This window comes from Homo sapiens, chromosome 5 (assembly GCF_000001405.40).
Source record: "Homo sapiens chromosome 5, GRCh38.p14 Primary Assembly".
Taxonomy (NCBI): domain Eukaryota; kingdom Metazoa; phylum Chordata; class Mammalia; order Primates; family Hominidae; genus Homo; species Homo sapiens.
This window is the reverse complement of record NC_000005.10, coordinates 126385454-126406899: the sequence shown is the minus strand read 5'-3', so window position 1 is coordinate 126406899 and position 21446 is coordinate 126385454. Positions and strand designations below refer to the sequence as shown.

The window sequence follows — 21446 nt, the reverse complement described above, 5'->3', positions numbered from 1 at the left end:
CAAACTTCATTGAAAATCATACTTCTGTTGACAGTGAGGTTGAAAGCAATCTGGCTTACTTCTCCAGATGCTTTCTTTACCTATTTTTCTCTAGAAGAAAGAAATCATCAGGAATCTGACTCTTCCACAGTAAAAACCTAAAGGCTGCTTCTTTGAAGCTCCCAGCTATGATTTTTCAGTTTATCACCCAGTGAACCAATTCTTTAAAGCCTTGGGTATCCAGGGGTTACTAAACCTCCAATAAGTAAGCTCTGTAAATAGTACACAGCAGAAAACATAACAAAATCAAATTTAGGATTTCTTTTTCATTTTCTATTTTTGTTATCTTCTCTATTTAAAAGTTTAGATAGGGATTGCCTTGGGGCTGTAGACTGAGAAGGGGGTAGAGGACTTTTAGGGGCATTGGAAATATTCTGCATATTGATCTAGGTGGTGGTTAGTTACATGGGTATATGCATATATAAAAATTGAGTGTATGCTTGAGATTTGTGCATTTTAATATATATAAGTTAAATCTCAATTTTATTTTTATTTATTTATTTTTATTATACTTTAAGTTTTAGGGTACATGTGCACAACGTGCAGGTTAGTTACATATGTATACATGTGCCATGTTGGTGTGCTGCACCCAGTAACTCGTCATTTAACATTAGGTATATCCATTTTAAAAGGTAAAAAGAAAAGCCTCAAACTTCTTTAGCCAGAGCTGGTAAAAGATGTATTCCGAGTTAGTAAAATAATAGAATGAAGGACAAAACAACAACATAAATATCTTTTTTCTTTTAGACACGAATATGATCTTTGTCTCTATATTTACTTTTTTTCTGTGGATAAATGCCTCCTTTTCTCTGCCTTAGTCTTTGACAATAAAGCTTCAAATTATGACAAATGAGTTTTTAGGTAGGACTTTTTCTGCCTACTTTTATTCAAATATTTATTTTAGTATGTAACACTAGAACATTTTAAACTCTTAACTACACTTTTCTTTGGCTTTATAAAATCTATGTAATATCTATTGAAAACCTCCTAGGCCATATCAGTCATGGTTTATGAATGGTATGCAACTTTACTACTTGGTTCCTAGCTTATCGTGTGGCTGTTAACTAAGTTTGTTGAGTTGCATAATCAAAAGAACCAAGAAAAGCAAACGGTGTTTTAATATAAAATAGCAGGATGGCAACTTAGAAATTTCTAGATTGAAAAAAAAAAAAGGATATCCTCAAGGAGACTGTCTTTTGCCATCTACTGCCAAAGGGTATTCTAATAATGTGTAGCTAATCATGTAATGATCTGGTTCACTAGACTTAGGTGAATTCAAGGACTGAGATTATATGCAATTAAAGCAAAAGAAAGGGAGTGGGGAGAGTAAAATTAATTGAGTGCTTCCTCTGTGCCAGGCACTGTGCCTCGCACAGATTATTTAATCTTTACAACTCTGTGAGGATTGTCTTATTGTACCATTGAGGAAGCTTAGGTTCAGGAATGGCAAATAACTCACCCAAATCACACAACTGATAATTTAGTTGTGTTGGTTTTCAAAGGTTGCTCTTTTCCCACAATGTACTATCTCTGGTGATGTCACAGATGAATTAAGAAGTACTTAAAAGAGCCAAAGGGATTTTAGAGATAATGTCATCAATCCCATTTGTTTGGAGATAAACAGCATCCAGGGAGGTTATATTGGGTCCAAATGGGCAACACAGAACTCAACTACCAGTTCTTCCCAGACTCTTCCTCTACTCCTCTTCCTACCTCCTCACCTTATTCTGCATCCCCAGTCATAGTCAGGATTAAAATCTTTTGCATGTTTCATTATGGGTGGTTAAGAGTAAGCAGCCTCTGGAACCTGGGTTTAAATCCATGATCTACCACTTATAATTTGTGTGACCTTGAGTAAGTAACTTGACCTCTCTGAGCTTTGGTTTCCTCAGTGTAGAAAATGAAAGAGTGGTTGTGATAATTAAAATATGGAGAGTCTTTAGAATGGGATGTGACCTGTAGAAAGTGTCCTATGAGTATTCATGATTTATTTTTTGTTATTATGTTGTATAATTCTTCTTCTGTGATTTATTGTTACATGTGTACAGGGTTGTCTACCTGTTGACATGGAGATGGTGTCTTATACACCTTTGTAATGCACTCCTCTTCCTCTCCTCCTCTTAGTGCCAAGATCAATGCTTAATCATTCTAGACATGGAACAAAGGCGTATTGGATGAATTTGGTTTTCCCAGTTAATGACTTTCCAAATTTTCCCAGTTAACGACTCTATCAAGTATAGAATCCAAGACTCCCCTGTCATAATCTGCTACTCTTGAGGATCCTGATTGTTGATTTCCAGGCTGGCATTTTCTCCCTGTATTCCTCATTTCTTTTAGGAATCCGAAAATATAGGAGTAGCTGCATATGACCATGATTTCACTTAGGAATTGGTTATTTGTTTGTTGTTCCTTTAGGGGGTTAACATCAAGCATGCACTGACTTTCTATTCTTGGCATCATGTCCTTGATGCAAACTGGTCTAAGGTAACAAGTAATCCTAATATGTGCTTTTTACACACAGCTTCCCATTTCTGTTGACACTGGTACTTTTAACTCCCTCTACTAGCTACCACAAAGAAAAAAAGGGGCTTAACTTTTTTTGCTTTCCTTGACATTTTCCCTCTCTACCAAATATTACAATCACAAAAAGGGTTTCATTTCCTTGGGTTGTGTTGAGACTGTACAATCCTGGGATTTCCTGATTTCAGGGGAGGTAGCTATTGTCTTTTGATTTCCACTCAGAGAATTTAACATTAGCATTTCCATAGCACCACAATTGTTTTCAAAAGTATGGTATGTAGAACTTTGTGACAAACCTTCTAAAAATGTGGACAATAGCTATCAGACTTTAGCATTCCATCCTTTTTTGGCAAAGTGGTGGATTTTTTTTGAAACAACAAATTTCATCTGTATTAAGATTTAAATACTGCTCAACATCTAATGCTTGAAAAAATGATGCTATTATTCCACTGTGAACTTTATAAGTTGGTTTGTTCCAGATAGCCTCTTCCTTATTAGCAGAACTTGGGGGATAATTATATGTATTTAGAAAATCTTTCTGACCTTTGTGAAAGTTTAGAGACTTTTATGTTCCTCTGCGTAAGTCTTTCAGTGTGTGGAGATATAAGTTGCCTTAAGTAAGAGGAAACTCAGTATAGGAAGGTTTTGAATAAAATTACAACAAAATATGTAACTGTATTAAACACTCAATTTTACATTAAGATGAGTTTATTTTAAACTGTTAAAATTTTTTCCCCCCTGCTCTTTTTTCCCCTAGAGCCTAAACTTTGTAAAGGATGGTTCATTTTCTTTTCTGCTGAGCCCTTTATTTCTAGTACCTATTACGAGTGCTCAATAAATATTTCTGAGCAATAAGTGATGACTTAATTAATCAGAAAAACACTCTGCATAGTACAGGCAACAGCCAACGTAGAAGTGCATTGTGTTCCACATGGCATTTTGTAATTCATTATTAGGATGCCAAATATATTTTCCTACATAAACAGTAATGTGGAAAGAACTCAGATTCCTAGGTTTGCTCATAAAATGAGTTTATCACATATTGCAAATTCTACTGTTTTAACTACTCCAGTAGCAAACTTTTCTGGGTTAGCTTGGGAATCAAATCATTTTTTAAAAACTTGTTTATGTGGAGAAGGTACTTCTTATCCCAAGGTGACCTCTACACTGAATTAAGAAATATATTTCTTTCTGTGTGAATATTAGTCAAATGGTATTCAGAGAGATGTAGAACTGGCTGCCAAGGAGGAAATGGCATCTTCTTCATTGCTTTGGAAAGACTTGATCCTAACTCCTGGCTCTATAAAAATACTTGCCTCCTACTAACTTCCCCATTACATTATGAAGATTTCTAATTCCTTATGTGACCCTCTCCTTTTAGCCTCACATTCTACATAATTATCTCAGCCCCTATGGAAAAGAGAAGGAATATTCTAGAACAAATTCTGAATTTACTACAGATTCCTAGGCCTTTATCCAAAACTCATGGGGCCAGATGTGTTTTGGAGTTCAGAGATATTTTTGGATCTTAGAAAGGTAATATGACACATATGCTGTATATTACATAATATCCTTGGCCTGTAATTCAACACAATAATATTTCTTTGGCTAAATGTAAGACTATTCCCACAAAGTGAGATAAATAGATACTGCTCATAGCCTTACATCACATAAATTGAGGTTCTGCTTGTAAAATTATAAAAGTTGTTTGGTGTTCAGTAACCCTTCTATCTCAGAATTGTGGGTAAGTGATTGTGGATCTGTCAAAGAGATAATGTATCAAATAAGAAAATTATAAAGGTGGTTCCAGTCTTCAGACTGAGTTCTGAGCTGCAGGGACCCTACTCAGAGACAGAGCAGAATTACATTCTTTGAAGAGGTTGGTGTTGTCCTGGAATGAAGGCTCAGTTTATAATTCAAGGTGGTATTTACCAAGGTAGTATTTCCTTCCTAGGTTAGCCAACCCTTGGGTTCATTAGCCTTAAGTGTTATTATTAGTGAGCTTATTTCTTAGTAAGCCAGGCTTTCTGCATTGGCTAAAAGAATGGTACACTTGGAGAGAAAATTCTTCCACTTTTCCTTTTTCCACTTAGGGTGGGTGACAGGAAACCATAGTGATGGCCTGGAGTCCCAGCAAGGATGCTGGTAGAAGCCCTACAGATACATAAAAAGGAAGGATGCTATTGAAGGCACTGGATGTGAGTGCTGATACTAGAACAGGATGGAGGCTGAAAACCAATTCAGCTGGGCCTCCCTACCTAGGCTTTTGATTTTCCCTGTGGCTAATTCAGCAGTCACAAAATAGACTCTCAGCTATATATGACCAGTAAGTTTGTTTTGTTAGAATTTGAAAGCCTACCAGTGAACCAGGCACTTTCCAATTTGCTGTGTCACTTGCTGGGATTAGAGTGACCCCGGTATATGACCTGGGATGACAGGGTTACCTCAATATTTAATTGTCTGAGTCAATCAGCAACAGTGATATCTTGACTAAGCTGAGTAGATATGGTCTACTCAAGATACAGTATTTAATGTCTACCCAAAACACTGTGTAATAATGTAAGCTATCATTTTTCTATATGGTAGTAAACTTTTCTAAGTGCTAGGTAAAGCAGATCTATATTCAGATGTTTCCATAAAACACTCCTTGTTGGAACAAGAGAAGTGGAGCAGGTGCATCCACAGAAAAGATTTAAGAGGCCCTGCAAATTTCTAGCTTGGATGACTGGTAAAGGTCTTTCTCTCTTGAAGCCAGTCAGTAAAGACTGGAGGAGCTAACTGATTCTTCAAATGTGAAGATAGCAATGAAAGACTTCAAAAAACATGAAAAAAAATCAAGGAAACATGATTCCACCAAAGGAACACAGTAATATTCCAGTAACTGAACCCAAAGAAATGGAGACCTATGAATTTCTGACAAAGAATTAAAAATAATTATTTTAAGAAAGCTCAGTGAGCTATAAAACAGCACAGATAGACAACTTACTGACTCAGAAAAACAATACATGAACAAAATCAGAAGTTTAACAGCAAGATAGAAATAATAAAAAAGAACCAAACAAATTCTGGAGCTGAACACAATTACTGGACTGAAAAATTCAATAGAGAGCTTAAGCAACAAACTTGATCAAGCATGAGAAAGAATCTGTGAACTCAGAGACACATCATATGTTATTTTTCAATCCAGGGAGATTGAAAGAAGAAAGAAAAAAGAATTTTAAAAAGTAAAGAAAGCCTAAGAGATTTATAAAACACCATCAACCAAACCTATATATGCATTACGAGAGCCTCTGAAAGAAAAGAGAAATGGGAAGAAAGCTTATTTTTAAAAAATTGGCTGAAAACTTCCCAAATCTTGGGGAGGGATATGGACATCACGTTCATGAAGCTCAGAAGTTTCCAAACGGGATCAACCTGAAGAAGATTATATGGAGACACATTATGATCAAAAGTCAATGACAGAGTGTTTTGAAAACAGCAAGAGAAAAGTTACCTGTCACATACAAGGGAATGTATATAAGACTATCAGAAGATTTACCAGCAGAAACTAGCATGCCAGGAGAGAGTAGGATGATATTTTCAAAGTGCTGAAAGAAAAAACTGCCAACCAAGAATACCATACTTGATAAAGCTGTCCTTCAGAAATAAAGGAGAGACAGACTTTCCCAGACAAACAAAACTGGGAATTCATCACCATTAGACCTGCCTTATAAGAAAAGTAAAGGGCATTCTTCATGTTGAATGAAAGATGCTAATTAGTAACATGAAAACATATGAAAATGTGTAACTCACTGGTAAAGATAAGTATATGGTAAAATTCAGAATACTCTAATCTTGTGATTGGCAGTGTGTACATCACTTCTAACTCTAGTATAAAAAGATAATAGACAAAAGTATTAAAAATAACTACAGCTATAATAATTTGTTAATAGATACATGATATTAATAGATATAAATTGTGACATTAATAACATAAACTGTATGTGTGAGAAATAAAAGTGTAGAGTTTTTGTATGAAATTGGAGTTATTATCAGCTTACAATAAGCTAACTGTTATAACATAATTATAAGATGTTCCTTGTGATTACCATGAAGTTTAGATTTAAAATCTATTTTTTCTTCTATACTCACTCCTGCTTTCTTTTGGTTATCATTTGCATGAAGTATCTTTTTTTATCTTTTCACTTTCATGTGTGTCTTTAAATCTAAGAAAAACCTCTAGTAGACATACAGAAGATAAAGAGAGAGGATTCAAAACATACCGCTATCAAAAAAAAAAATCAAATCACAAAGAAAGGAACAAAGGAACCATAAAACAGAAAATAATTAACAAAATGGCAATAATGAGTCCTGTATTATTGATAATTACTATGAATGTAAATGGATTAAACTCATCAATAAAAAGACATAGAGTGGCTGAATGGATTAAGAAAATGGGATCCAGTAATATTCTGTCTACAAGAGATTCACTTTAGATTTAAAGACATACATGAAAGTGAATGGCTAAAAAAAGATATTTCATGCAAATGGTAACCAAAAGAAAGCAGGAATGACAATAGAAGAAAAAAATAGATTTTAAATGTAAAACTGTCTCGAGTGAAAGATCACTGTATAATGTTAAAAGGGTCAATTCAACAGAAAGATATAGCAACTATAAATATATTGTATTAGCCCATTTTCACACTGCTATAAAGAACTGCCTGAGACTGGATAATTTATAAACAAAAGAGGTTTAATGAACTCACAGTTCTTTATGTCTGGGGAGGCCTCAGGCAACTTACAATCATGGTGGAAGGCGAAGGGGAAGGAAGACATGTCTTACATGGTGGGAGGAGAGAGCAAAAGGGAGGAACTGCCAAACACTTTTAAACTTGTGAGAACTCACACACTATTACAAGAACAGCACAGGGGAAACTGCCTCCATGATCCAACTGGGGAAACTGCCTCCATGATCCAATTACCTCCCACTAGATGCCTCCCTCGACATGTGGGGATTACAATTCAAGATGAGATTTGGATGGAGACACAGAGCTAAACCATATCATATATACAAAATATCAGAGGACCTAAATATATTATATAAAGCAAATATTGACAGATCTAAAGACAGAAATTAAGAGCAATACTATAATAGTAGGATACCTCAATACCCCACTTACACTAATGGATAGAGCACCCAAACAGAAAATTGATAATGAAACATCTGACTTGAAAAACACTGTAGACCAAATGTACCTAACAGACTTACATAGAACTTTCCACTCAACAGTACCAGAATACTCATTTTTCACAAGTGCACATGGAATATTCTCCAGGATAGATCACATATTAGGTCACAAAATAAGTCTTAACAAATTCAATAAAGTCAAAATCATTCCAAGAATCTTTTCCAACCACAATGGAATGAAACTAGAGATAACAGCAAGAAAACTGTAAAATTCACAAATATGTGGAAATTAAAGTACACACTCCTAAATAATCATTGGGTGTAAAAGAAACTCAAAAGATAACTTAAGAAGCATCTCCAGACAAAGCAAAATGAAACACAACATACCAAAACCTATGAGATACAGAAAAAGCAGTTCTAAAAGGAAAGTTTATAGTGATGAATGCCTACTTTAAAGAAGAAGAAAGATTTTGCATAAACAATCTAACTTTATACCTTAAGAAACTAGAAAAAAACCTCAACTAATTAAGCCCAAAGTTAGCAGAAGGAAGGAAATCATAAAGATTAGAGTCAATGTAAATCAAATAGAGAAAAAAATCAATGAAACTAAGAGTTGGTTTTTTAAAAAGTTAAACAAAATTGACAGAGTAACCAAGAAAAAAGACAGAAGACTCAAATAATTAAAATCAGAATTGGAAGAGGAGACATTACAACAAATATCTAAGAAATAATAGGGACCATAAAAGATTATTATGAATGATCATATGCCAAAAAACTGGGTAAATTAGAAGAAATTCCTAGAAACATAAAACCTACCAAAACTGAATCATGAAGATACAGAAAACCTGAGCAGACCACTAGCAAATAAGGAGATTGAATCAGTATTAAGAAATCTTCCACTGAGATGGGAGGATTGCTTGAGCTCAGGAGTTCAGGACCAGCCTGGGCAACATAGAGAGACCTTTCTCTACAATAATAAAAAAATTAGTTGGCATGGTGGTGCATGACTGTGATCCCTGAAACTTGGAAGGCTGGGGTGAGAGGATCACTTGAGCCTGGAAGGTTGACGCTGCAGTGAGCTATGGTCATACCACTGCACTCCATCCTGGGTGACAGAGCAAGACCCCATCTCAAAAAAAAAAAAAAAAAAAAAAATCTCCCAACAACGAAAAAACATTCAAGGACCAATGACTTCATAGGTAATTCTACTGAACACTCAAAGAAGACTTAATAGCAGTCCATCTTAAATTTTTCCAAAAAAATAGAAGAGGGAACACTTCCAAATTTTTTCTATGAGGCCATCATCATCTTGCTACCAAACCCAGACAATGACACTGTATGAAAATAATCCTACAGGCCAACATTACTGATGAACACAGATACAAAAATTTTCAACTAGCAAACTAAATTTTATAGTACATTAAAAGGACCATATATCATGATTAAGTGGGATTTATTCCTGGGATGCAAGGTTAGTTCAACATATGCAAATCAATAAATGTGATACAACACATTAACAAAATGAAAGAAGAAAACCACATGATTGTCTCAATAGGCACAGAAAAAGCATTTGACACAGTTCGACATCCTTTCATGATTAAAACTGTCAATAAAATATATATAGAAGGAACTTAAGAAAATAAACGTCAAAGCCAGGTGTGGAGGCTCACACCTATAATCCCAGCACTTTGGGAGGCTGAGTTGAGTGGATTACTTGAGCTCAGGAGTGAAGACCAGGCTGGGCAACATGGAAAAACTCTATTTCAACAAAAAATACAAAAGTTAGCCAGGCGTGGTAGTGCATGCCTGCAGTCCCAGCTACGCAAGAGGCTGAGATGGGAGCATGGCTTGAGCTTGGAAGGTGAAGGTTGCAGTGAGCCAAGATCACACCACTCTGTTTCAGCCTGGATGACAGAGCCAGACTCTGTCTCAAAAATAAATAAATAAAATAAAAGTCCAAATGAAAACCACACAGCTAACATCCTAAACAATGGGGAAAAACTGAACGCTTTCCCTTTAAGAAACTATCAACAGAATGAACAGACAACCTACAGAATGGGAGAAAATTTTGCAAACTATGCATCTGACAAAGGTCTAATATCCAGCACCTACAAGGAACTTAAATTTACAAGAAACAAACAACAAACAAACAACCCCATTAAAAAGTGGGCAGAGGACATGAAGTGACACTTTTCAAAAGAAGACAAACTTGTGGCCAAGAATCATGTGAAAAAAAGGTCAACATCACTGATCATAAGAGAAATGCAAATCAAAACCACAGTGAGATACCATCTCACACCAGTCAGAATGGCTATTATAAAAAGTCAAAAAATAGCAGATGCTGGTGAGTTTGCTGAGAAAAAGGACTGCTTAGACACTGTTGGTGGTAGTGTAAATTAGTTCAACCATTGAGGAAGACGTGTGGCAATTCCTCAAAGACCTAAAGACAGAAATACCATTCGACCTACCAATCCATTACTGGGTATATACCAAAAGGAATATAAATTATTCTATTACAAAGATACATGCACATGTATGTTCATTGCAGCACTATTCAAAATAGCAAAGACATGGAATCAACATAAATGCCCATCAACAATAAACTGCATAAAGAAAATGTGGTACATATACACCATGCAATACTATGCAGTAATAAAAAAGAATGAGATCATGTCCGTTGCAGGAACATGGATGGAGCTGGAGGCCATTATCCTTAGCAAACTAACACAGGAACAGAAAACCAAATACTGCATTTTCTTACTTATAACTGGGAGCTAAATGATGAGAACACATGGACACATAGAGGGGAAACACACACACCGGGGCTTATTGGTAGATGGAAGGTGGGAGTAGGGAGAGGATCAGGAAAAATAACTAATGAGTACTAGGCTTAATACCTGGGTGACAACATAATTGTACAACAAACCCCCATGTCATAGGTTTACCTATGTAACAAGGCTACACATGTACCCCTGAACTTAAAATAAAAGTTAAATTGAAAAAAAGAAAGAAAATTTGCTCAACATCACTAATCATCAAGGAAATGCAAATAAAACCATGATGAGATATTACCTAACACCTGTTAGGATGGCTTTTATAAAAATGACAAAATATAAGTGTTGGTGAGGATGTGGAGAAAAGGGAACCCTTTTACACTGCTGGTATATTGTATACTTCACATTTGCTAAGATAGTGGACTTAAGTGTTCTTATCACACACCCACAAATCAAAGGTAACTATGTGAGGTAATGGATATGTTAATTAACTCAATTGTGGTAATCATTTCACAATGTATGTGTATATCAAAACATCACATCATACACCTTATACATATGTACAATTTAATTTGTCAACTATACCTCAATAAAACTGAAACACATATACATGTGCATGCGCGCACACACACACACAGACACTCCCTCCCTCTTGTTCTGGAAACTGAGTAGCAGGCTCTCTCTTGCTGCTTTTGAATTTTCAGTCCCCGACGTTTGTTCTTTTTCTCTTTTAAACTTCTGGCATTCTAAAATTGATTAATACAGAGTTTACTAATAGATTTTTTTGGATTCATCTTAGCAATTTAAAAAAGCATAAAAAAATAAAGTGAATGTTTGTGAATGCAAGTTCATTTCCCATCAAGACATGTTTGTGAATTTTGTGTTGCCTGGAGCCATGCTGGGAGGTTCAGTGAGAGTCACCTCTGGAATTTCCCCATTGCTTCTCTCCCCAGCCTTGTGTCAGACCAGGCAAACTATGAGGGCTTTCATCCACAAGACAGCATAATTCCAAACCAGCCGGGGACTTCAGGCTCAGACCATAGTTGTTTAATTCAGATTAAAGCGATCTTATCTTGAAATATGCTGACTAAGAGATGGTTAAAAAATGAACTTCATGATTATAACTAATAGGCAAGAATAGATTGTACTTAAGCAGTTTTGTGTATTAATTTAATTCTGAGACTTAGATATTAACTGTATTTTAAAAATCCCTTTTCATGTGTTTTTAACCAGTCTTATGTTTCTTTCCTAATTATAAAACATTATTATTCTATTTTTCTGAAGGAAAAGTATCTTCTAACAAAAAAAAAAGTGTAACTCTAAGTTATAAGAACTGCAACCAAAAGCAAAAGGCTGACAATAACTGGCTCACTTTAAGAGAATGGTTTTGAGTCTTCTTCATTAATATACTTTGGAGACCCACAGTTATAACTTTAATGCCCAAATTTCAATAGTATCCAAAATAATCTCTGAGCTAGCCTTAGGATGTTTCTTAGCTAAGCGTTATTAGTTTGGCTGGCTCACTCTTGGACAGAAAAAAAACATATTTATGGTACTCCAAATGTAGAAAAACCCATGGCTTTTATTTAATACATTTACAGTTTCTTGAGATTACAAAACATTTCACAGTTTCTATCTGTATGTATATTTAAATTTCCTCTAAATATCTGAAATCACACCATCAGAATCTAAGTTAGATGAGAGCAGGAACCCTGACTATTTCACTCACGTGTGTAGAGCCAATGTCCCGTCTCCAGAGTAAAGATTGGATGGAATGCAGAATATTGAAATGGAAGGCAGAATATTGAAATGGAATGCAGAATATTGAAATGGAATGTAGAATATTGAATGAATCAATCAAAGACTTTAACACTTCCAGCTACAGGCAGCTCATTATGGCTCAAAGCAGCCAGGCCTCAGAGTTCTTTTTTACAATGATTGGACTGTCATCTCTTCCCACTTGTTTGTTCCAGTTTTAGCTCGTCAGGTCATGTAGATTTACTCTACCATATAACAAACCTTTAAATACCTGAACTGATACTCATGCCCTACTTTCTCCACCTGACCTCTGAGGTTTGCCTCTGCAGACTAATATCCCTAGTTTTCTTTTCTTTTTTTTTTTTTTGAGACAGAGTCTTGCTGTGTCGTCCGGGCTGGACTGCAGTGGCGCCATCTCGCCTCACTGCAAGCTCTGCCTCCCGGGTTCACTCCATTCTCCTGCCTCAGCCTCCCGAGTAGCTGGGACTACAGGCACCCGCCACCACTCCCGGCTAATTTTTTTGTATTTTTAGTAGAGACAGGGTTTCACCGTGTTGGCCAGGATGGTCTCGATCTCCTCACCTCGTGATCTGCCCGCCTTGGCCTCCCGAAGTGCTGGGCTAACAGGTGTGAGCCACCGCGCCTGGCCTAATATTCCTAGTTTTTTAACAATTGACATAGTTATGAGTGTCTTGTGATACTCTCATATGGTCCCTTCTGAGCACATACCAGATAGTCACCTTTACATGGTACTCAGGATGGTTCATGGAAGGCCTGGTCTGTGTGGGATTATGATCTTATGCTTTCTAGAGTCTGTTCATGCTCTTTGCTATCAAATTAACTTTTTCATTTTTTTCGAGGAAACATTGTTTTTTTCCAGTGCTTTAGGGAGAACCATTTTATTCTTAGTAAAACCCTGCCTCAGTGGAAGGCAATTGAAGTGGGAGATAATTGTTATCTTGGGGCTGGTATGGTCTGCAAATGGTTCCATATGTTGTGTCTTGCTTCCAGGTTGACTTATTTGGAGGTTCAAGATAATTGACCACTAAGTCTGGTTCTGGAGAAGTTGGGTTTCCACATGCCTTACAGGTAAGGTGGAACTTTGAAGATTTTTGAAATGTTGTAGTATTTAAATGCTGCTGCTAAATAAGAATTTACTATATATTTTTGTCAAAGGGCTGAAGTTGCAATTTGGCAAAAAATTTTATTTATTTCCATGAACTTTGATATTTTCTGAAGATAATTTTTAAATCAAGTTATTAATTTGGAAGATGCAGGTACATGTATATGCAAACATGTAAAAATTTTTATGAGAATACATCTATTAGTGAGATAATATTTTACACTTGGAAGACCTGTGAAATAAAATTGTAAAAGGAAACAATTTTTACAGTGATTTGAATGTTTTGAAATTAGTCAGTTTATAATTGGGGAGATGGTCGTGATGGAAAAGGGGAAAGTGAAGGGGATGAAGCTGATGGGTGAAAGCAGGGAAGGGAAACAGAGGAAGGGGAGAAAAAAGGGAAAAGGTAGTGAAGGTAGGTTGTCTAAGAAATTCCAAGTACCCACTCAGTCCTTAAACCATTTTCTTGCGTGAACTTTGAGTCCTGCGGTGTAATTATGTATTTTGTAACAAACTGTTCAGAAGTTAAATAATTCCTATGAAACAGAAATTTATTGTTCTGTAAGAAAGATGACCTTCCACTTTATTTTTCAAATAGATTCTAATTCAGGGGTCCTCAACCTGCTTCCTGTCAGATCAGTGGTGGCATTAGATTCTCATAGGAGCACAAACCCTATTGCGAACTGCACATGCGAGAGATCTAGGGTCAGTGCTCCTTATGAGAATCTAACTAATGCCTGATGATCTGAGGTGGAACAGTTTTATCATGAAACCGTTTCCCATCCCGCACCCCCTGCCCCCACCTCACCCTCCCATGAAAGAAGAATAATTTTAAAAAAGAAAAAGAATTTTTCTTTCATGGAAGAAAAATTGTTTTCCCCAAAACCAATCCCTGGTGCCAAAAAGGTTGCGGACCACTTGTCTAAACTATGCAAATAATAGGATTTATGTTGAACCCCTGCTTTTATTCTGGGAGCTCAAATTTGAGGTATGTATTGGTTAGAGAGTGCCTGTGTGACCAGCCTCCAATACAAATCTTTGGTTCTGAGTTGCTAATGGGCATCTCTGGGCAGAAATATTGCACACATATTGCTACATTTTTGTTGCTGGTGCAAAAGTGTGCTCTCTGTGCCCTATCACGGGAGGGAAAGAGCCTAAGGAAGCCTGTACATGGATTCCTGCAGACTCCACTTGTGTCTTTCCCCCTGTGATCCACCTTACTATGTCACTGTAAGAAATCTTAGCCATGAGTCGAATAATGGTGAGTTCTATGAGTCCTTCTAGTGAATCTCTGAGTGTGGCTGGTCTTGGGGAACACAACCCCTTTTCTTGCAGTACTCATCCTGATACATCCCTTTTGTAGCGTTACACAATTTTAGTGAAAAGAGAAAAGGGAAGTGTTTTGGAAAACTTAAATGTCAGATAAAATACTGATCCAGAAGATATAGTTTAGCAAAGGCATGTCAGTCTTTCTGAAAATCATCAAGCCAATTTAGTCATGGAAAAATTATTTGCTTACTTTGTATTTACAGAATATGAACTTCCAAGAAAGAAATGCCTTTTAAGGATCTTTCTTACCTTTTAAAAAATAATAGTTTTATTGAGATATAATTCACTATACTACAAAATTCACCCTTTTGAAGGGTAAAATTCGGGTGATTTTAGTACCACAAACAGAATTGTGTAACTTTCCCCACCAATTCTAGAACATTTTCATCACCCTCCCCAAAAAACCCTGTACCCATTAGTAATCAATCCCCATCATTCCTTCCCTGCAGTCCCTGGGAACTAATTGACTTGCCATCACTATAGATTTGCCTATTTTTCATATAAATGAAATCATGTGGCCTTTTATGACTAGCTTCTTTCATTTGTGTTGTGGCATATAATAGTACTTCATTCCTTTTTATTGCCAAATAATATTCCGTTGCATGGACATACCACATTTTATTTTATCTATTCATCAGTAGATGACATTTGAGTTGTCTCCATTTTTTGGCTATTATAAATAATACTGCTGTGGATATCCATGTACAAGTGTTATTGTTATTTGGACAGGTTTTATTTCAGCATTATAAATAATACTGCTGTGGATATCCATGTACAAGCATTATTGTTATTTGGACAGGTTTTATTTCAGCTTTGTTGAGCTATAACTGACAAATAACAGTGTACAAGTTTTTTTTTTTTTTTTTTTTTGAGATGGAGTCTCCCTCTCTTGCCCAGGCTGGAGTGCAGTGGCACAATCCTCCTGGGTTCAAGCGATTCTCCTGCCTCAGCCTCCCGAGTAGCTGGGACTACAGGTGTGTGCCATTACGCCTGGCTCATTTTTGTATTTTTACTAGAAATGGGGTTTTACCATGTTGGCCAGGCTGGTCTCAAACTCCTGACCTCAACTGATTCATTTTTTTGTCACTCATGCTTTTGGTGCCACATCTAACTCCTGTACCAGATTTTAAATCATCCCACTAACATTAGGAGGTCTACATCTTTAAGCCCAATCTGTTACTATATGATGGATGGAAATTAAAGGTGGGAGGAGTTGGAGTACAGCAAAGTGGCTAGAGTATGGAATTTAGAATTTTCATGTAGAGTCCAACTCTTTTATTACGGGAATTAGGCAGAATATTTTTAAGCCTCAGTTTCCTACATGGAAAATGGAGTAATAATAGTTCCTATTTCATAAGGTTATTGTGAAGTTTAAATTAGCCTATTTGTGAAAAGAGTTTAGGAGGAGACGTCTGGCACACAGAAGACATCTAGTAAATGTTAGGTTGTTATCATTTTATCAAGAGATTATGGAACTGGCTGGACCAACTCAAGAATTGACTAGCAGAATTAAAGTTATCACTCTTCCAGCTGCATTTATGAAAGGCTGCTGAAATTACTTTACTTACGGTTATATAACTTTCTGGCAGCATAAAAAATCCTGACAGATATACTGCAGAATGATTTTATTTCTTCTGGTTTCAGCAATAAACAATGATATTCCTCTTTGGGGTCTAAAGAAGAATCCTAGGCCAAAAAACTGTAGTGTCAGCCTAACTGAACATTTCATCATGATGTGTGATTATTATTTATCATTAATTAATGGCCATTTATATAACTACATAGAAAATAACAAACAAAACTCCTTTCCTGTCAGTTGGATATAAGTAGGAAAGGTCACTTGACATTTCAGTTAACTATTTACCATGCTTTACAGCATGACTTCAGAACTTTTATATACATGTCTCAATCATTTGGTGTTCATGGGTACAGAAGCAGGTTAGGGCCATAATAAACACATTCTTTTTTATTATTATCAACCTAGATATCAGTGAAAGTTCAAAGTCAAGTCATCTCAGTTCAGCCTATTTCTTTGTGGCATGTAGACTAATAAATGAGGAGGCACCTTCCAGTAGAGATATGGTTATTTATATGTACTATAAAGACATCTTTCAGTAATTTTTATATAAACAACTCAACCTAAAATTTTACTATTTTATTCATCTTCAAAAGTAAAACCCTTTGTTAGCAATTGGCATAGTTATATTTCCCAATGTGGACAATTTAACAATTCTTTTTTTTTGAGACAGAGTCTCACTCTGTTGCGCAGGTTGGAGTGCAGTGGCATGATCTTGGCTCACTGCAACCTCCACCTCCCAGGTTCAAGAAATTCTCTTGCCTCAGCCTCCCAAGTAGCTGGGACTACAAGCACGCACCACCACATCCAGCTAATTTTTGTATTTTCAGTAGGAACGAGGTTTTACTATGTTGGCCAGGCTGGTCTTGAACTCCTGACTTCAGGTGATCCACCCACCTCAGCCTCCCAAAGTGCTGGGATTACAGGTGTGAGCCACGGTGCCCAGCGCAATTTAACAAATATTAAAACATCTTTTGAAAAAACATATAATAATCTTACGCTGTGAAACATTTATTTTAAGCACACAGTTTTCTATTTTAGTTTTTCCTGTATTAACTTGCAATAATAATAATAAAAAAACCATTCAGGGGCTCTTACTAAGAATAGAAGACTATAAAACAATAGCTTAGGAGGATACAGGGATGAGTAATATAATTTCTTCCAGTACAAGTGTGGCAATTCAGGAGGTGATCTAGAAGCAAGGTGTCCTTGCTCACGGAAGAATGACAGCGGGAGAGAAGATCGAAATCACTGCCCAGGTTAATAAAGCAATATGTGAGATGACAGTCCAAGTTAGAAACCAGCCAAAGGTATTTCAAGTAACACTTTTATAGTGCTTATATGTGGTAGGTAGTTTTCTAAGCACTTCACAGATGAGGTGATTCATTTAATCCTTACAATAACCCTATGAGGGGTAAGCTTTCACCCCTCCTTTAACAGGAGAGCAAACTAAAGTGCAACATGATAAGTTATGTAGACGACATTAGAGCTCAGGCAGTCTGGCTAAGAAGTTGGGGCTCTTAACTACTATCCTATGCTACTTCTCCATGCAAATAAGAATTATTGTTAGTAAAGTCACTTTGTGGTTTTTTGTATTTTTAGATTTTTATCGATTTAGGAGGTACCAGTCAGGTTTCTTACATGCATATATTGCCAAGTGGAGATGTCTGGGCTTCTGGTATGCCCATCAGCCTAATAGTAAATATTGTACCTAATAGATAATTTTTCAATTCTCACCCCCACCCCACCCTCTTTGGTAACTTTGGGATTTTTGGAAGCTTTAGTTCTTCAAAACCCCCCAAATGTGGTATATAATAATGTAGATAACTAAAAGATTCAATAGGTTTTTTTTCTCTTAAGAAGGAAAATAAAGATACATTTATCCATAATTTACTCTAAAATAAAATTCTACATTACAAATATGTTGTATAATCTAGTGTGCTGAATTACATGGCTTATACAACGTGATCGTCTTATATTAAGATGAATATTCCCAAAAATGTGATGATTGTGTAGGGAATAAATTTCATATTCATATTTTCCAGGAATCAATGATTGATTCCACAATGGAATAAACCTTTCATAGCATAATGATAGCTTCTTGTATAGGTTTGTTAAACTACATGTTAGTAAATAACATCTCACTTACTGGCATAAAATCTTCATTATAATATTTAGAAAATTTGTCTTGGTTGAAAACAGCATCTTTATTTAATTAATTAATTTGTTTGTTTATTTTTTGAGATAAGATCTCACTTTGTCACCCAGGCTGGAGTGCAGTAGCATGAATATGGCTCACTGCAGCCTCAATCTCCTGGGTTCAAGAGATACTCCTGCCTCAACTCCCTAAGCAGCTGGGACCACAGGCAGGAGCCACCACACCTGGCTAATTTTTGTATTTTTTGTAGAGATGGAATTTCGCCATGTTGGTCAGGCTGGTCTCAAACTCCTGGGCTCAAGTGAATCACCCGCCTTGGCCTCCTAAAATGCTGAGATTATAGGTGTGAGCCACTGTGCCAGGCCTGAAAATTGCATCTTTAAGTTAACAGCAGTAGCAACTGGGACAGATTCAGTTTTGTAGGGCCTGAAGTTTTATAGTATAGGGGGTTTCTTTAATAAAAAACCCACAAAATTAGGTGCAAACAATGAATATTGAATTAGAAGAAGTTCATTCAAGTGACAGACTCTGAAGTTTCAGCTTCATTAGCTTTGTAGTAAATGTAGCACTTCAGATAGTGACTATCTAAATTTTTTTTAAATGCCAAAAGAATGAACTAGTCCCTAAAGACAATTCTTCATTTTTTCCCCAGAAGGAGCTTATAAATTTATGTGTATATATAGTCTCTGTTGATTTTTTCTCTCTTCTTTCTGTTCCTCCATTGTCTGACAAAATTCTGTTTACAATTTGTTCTCCATTTGTGAGATGAGAAAAAAGAGAGACTTAGTGCTTTGCCACAGGAAACAAAAGCCTGCCAGGGCCAGGTCTGGACCCTTTCCACTTATACTCTCAGCATATGAATTTGGAGAAATTATATACATATATATAATTATAAATACATAAATATATATATTTCTTGTTATAGCAGCAATAAGAGAGAAATAATATTTTGAGTATACAGATGGAGAACCATCTTCTCTTAGTGTCTTTATTCTTATATTTCCAGAAAATAAACTAAGCCCAGAGACATTTAAAACCAAGCCAAAGCACAGTTCTCAAATTCCTGAGTACAGAACATTTGTTTAGCCTCATAAACCAGTAGCAATGTTGGGAAAAAAAGTTTTATTTTGACTTGAGACAGAACTTGTCTTTTTATAAAAAGAGATAATCCTTTTTTTTTTTCAGAAGAGTTAAAATTTTAAGAAACCCACTTAGCTCAGTATTGGTGGTTTTTCTTTCCCCTTCTATTTTCTTTATTATTATTTATTTATTTCCATGTTTACTTAAGGTCATCAAAATATGGACTTCAGTCATATGGGAGAACTGAAATAGCTTGACAGTTTTTTGACTCTTCAAGTTTGGCCCTTAAAATTCTTATGGTTTTTACATGTATCCAAATACATAAAAGTAAATAATTTTTTAAAGCCTCATGCACCTTTCGTTTTCCCTTTGTTTGGCTCTCACTAGGTTATAAAAGAATATATGGTGATAATAAAACAAATAGGTAAAACAAAACCTTAGAATTTGACATAAGGTTTTGTGGATAATGACTTCCAACTGTGTTTTTACAGTGACAATTCACCTATGTTGTAGCTATAGTGATAACAATTCTTCAGTGCCTCCAACTTGCCAGCCTCCAAAATTATCTGTACCTAATCCTCAGAATAGTCCAATAAGCTAGATGCTATTAGCCCCATCTGACAAATGAGAAAACTGGAATTTAGAAAGATTAGTTAATGGGGCTAAGGTGGCGCAGTAAGTGGCAGAGTTGTGATTCAAATATAGATCCAAGTAACTCCAAGGCTAATGTCCTTTCACCAAATACTGCCTTTCAGATTAGAAATATTCAGAGTTTTTGTGGTGGCCAGCCTCCATGATGGTCCCCAGTGATCACCCTTCTTGGTATTCTCAGCCTTGGATTGTCCACCTCATGAAAGTCCCTGAGCCAGAGCTACCTAGCCAATTTACTTCCAGATTCAGAACCCACAGATACTGTGTAAGATAATACATGCTCATTGTTTAAGAGGCTAGGATTTGGCATAATATGCTGTGAAGCAATTGACAACTCATCTAACCCTTATCATTCTTACTCAGCTTGGAACGTGCTTCCTTGGGGATTTCATGTTCATATCAATGACTGATTTGGAATTCGGATTTGCCTTTGAATGTTGGAGAGCATGGAATCATGCAAGGATCAGCAGACAGATCCTGGGTGGTGATCCGTGATGTCCAGCTACACAAAAGAAATGAATGTCTTTTTTTCCCAAAAGATGATGTATTACAAGAGTCACTACTAAATCAGCATCTACGTCAACCAAATACAACCTCTAAAAGAAAAACAAATAGGATGATATTAATCCTGGAGAGTTTTATTTTGTTTATAATTTGGGATAATTAAGCTTTGAAGTTTCATGTTTACTCTTTGAGGAAAGTGTGTCTGGGCTTTACCTCATTTCCTCCAACCCTCTCTCCCTCTCTGCTCCAGAGACCCAGTGTTCTTTCAGCAACTTGAAATGTGTTTTCTCTTCCACAGAGAATAGCAAATGCTATTTCTACAAATGGGATTCTACCTCTCCCTCTCCCTCTCTTCCAGTCTCATGTTCTGTTTCATTTCCTCAGGGACTGCTGCTTTACGACTCCATGGACTGGGTTGCACCCCCCATTGCTCCCTCTGCCTTCTACTCTACTTTCCCAGTATTCAAGACACTCAGAATCCTCTTTAATGCCTGTCTTTTTCTGATTATAAGCAACATAAGAACCTGCCACACTGGTTTTATTCACCAATGGATCTCTAGTGCCTTATTACACAATAAATACTTTTTGACTAAGTATTGTTTGAGGAAAATGTTATTTCCGGCACAGAGAAAATAATAGCAGAGGCATGAAGATATGAAAGTGTGTGGCATGTGTAAGGGAATATTAAATTAAAAATGGATGTTTTCTTTAAGTAAATGGTTATCTCTTTCCTATGTAACTTAATTCAACTTTACCATAATTAATTT

The 21446-nt window shown here is 36.1% G+C and overlaps 1 protein-coding gene and 1 long non-coding RNA gene across 9 annotated transcripts in view; one reads left to right on the top strand and one right to left on the bottom strand.

Annotated features, from left to right (window-relative positions):
- The window catches only part of GRAMD2B (GRAM domain containing 2B), a 134245-nt gene that overhangs the window by 87465 nt on the left and 25334 nt on the right, over positions 1 to 21446 (bottom strand). The gene's annotated exons all lie outside the window — the stretch shown is intronic.
- On the top strand, positions 12293 to 20642 carry LOC101927514 (uncharacterized). 3 transcript variants are annotated; one of them, XR_001742874.3, is made up of 3 exons: positions 12293 to 12573; positions 13270 to 13347; positions 20539 to 20642. It is a non-coding gene; the product is annotated as an uncharacterized LOC101927514 (long non-coding RNA). The 3 variants fall into 3 exon arrangements; XR_001742875.2 differs by lacking the exon at positions 20539 to 20642 and adding an exon at positions 17452 to 17534 and having other exon boundaries at positions 12293 to 12487; XR_001742873.2 differs by lacking the exon at positions 20539 to 20642 and adding an exon at positions 17452 to 17534.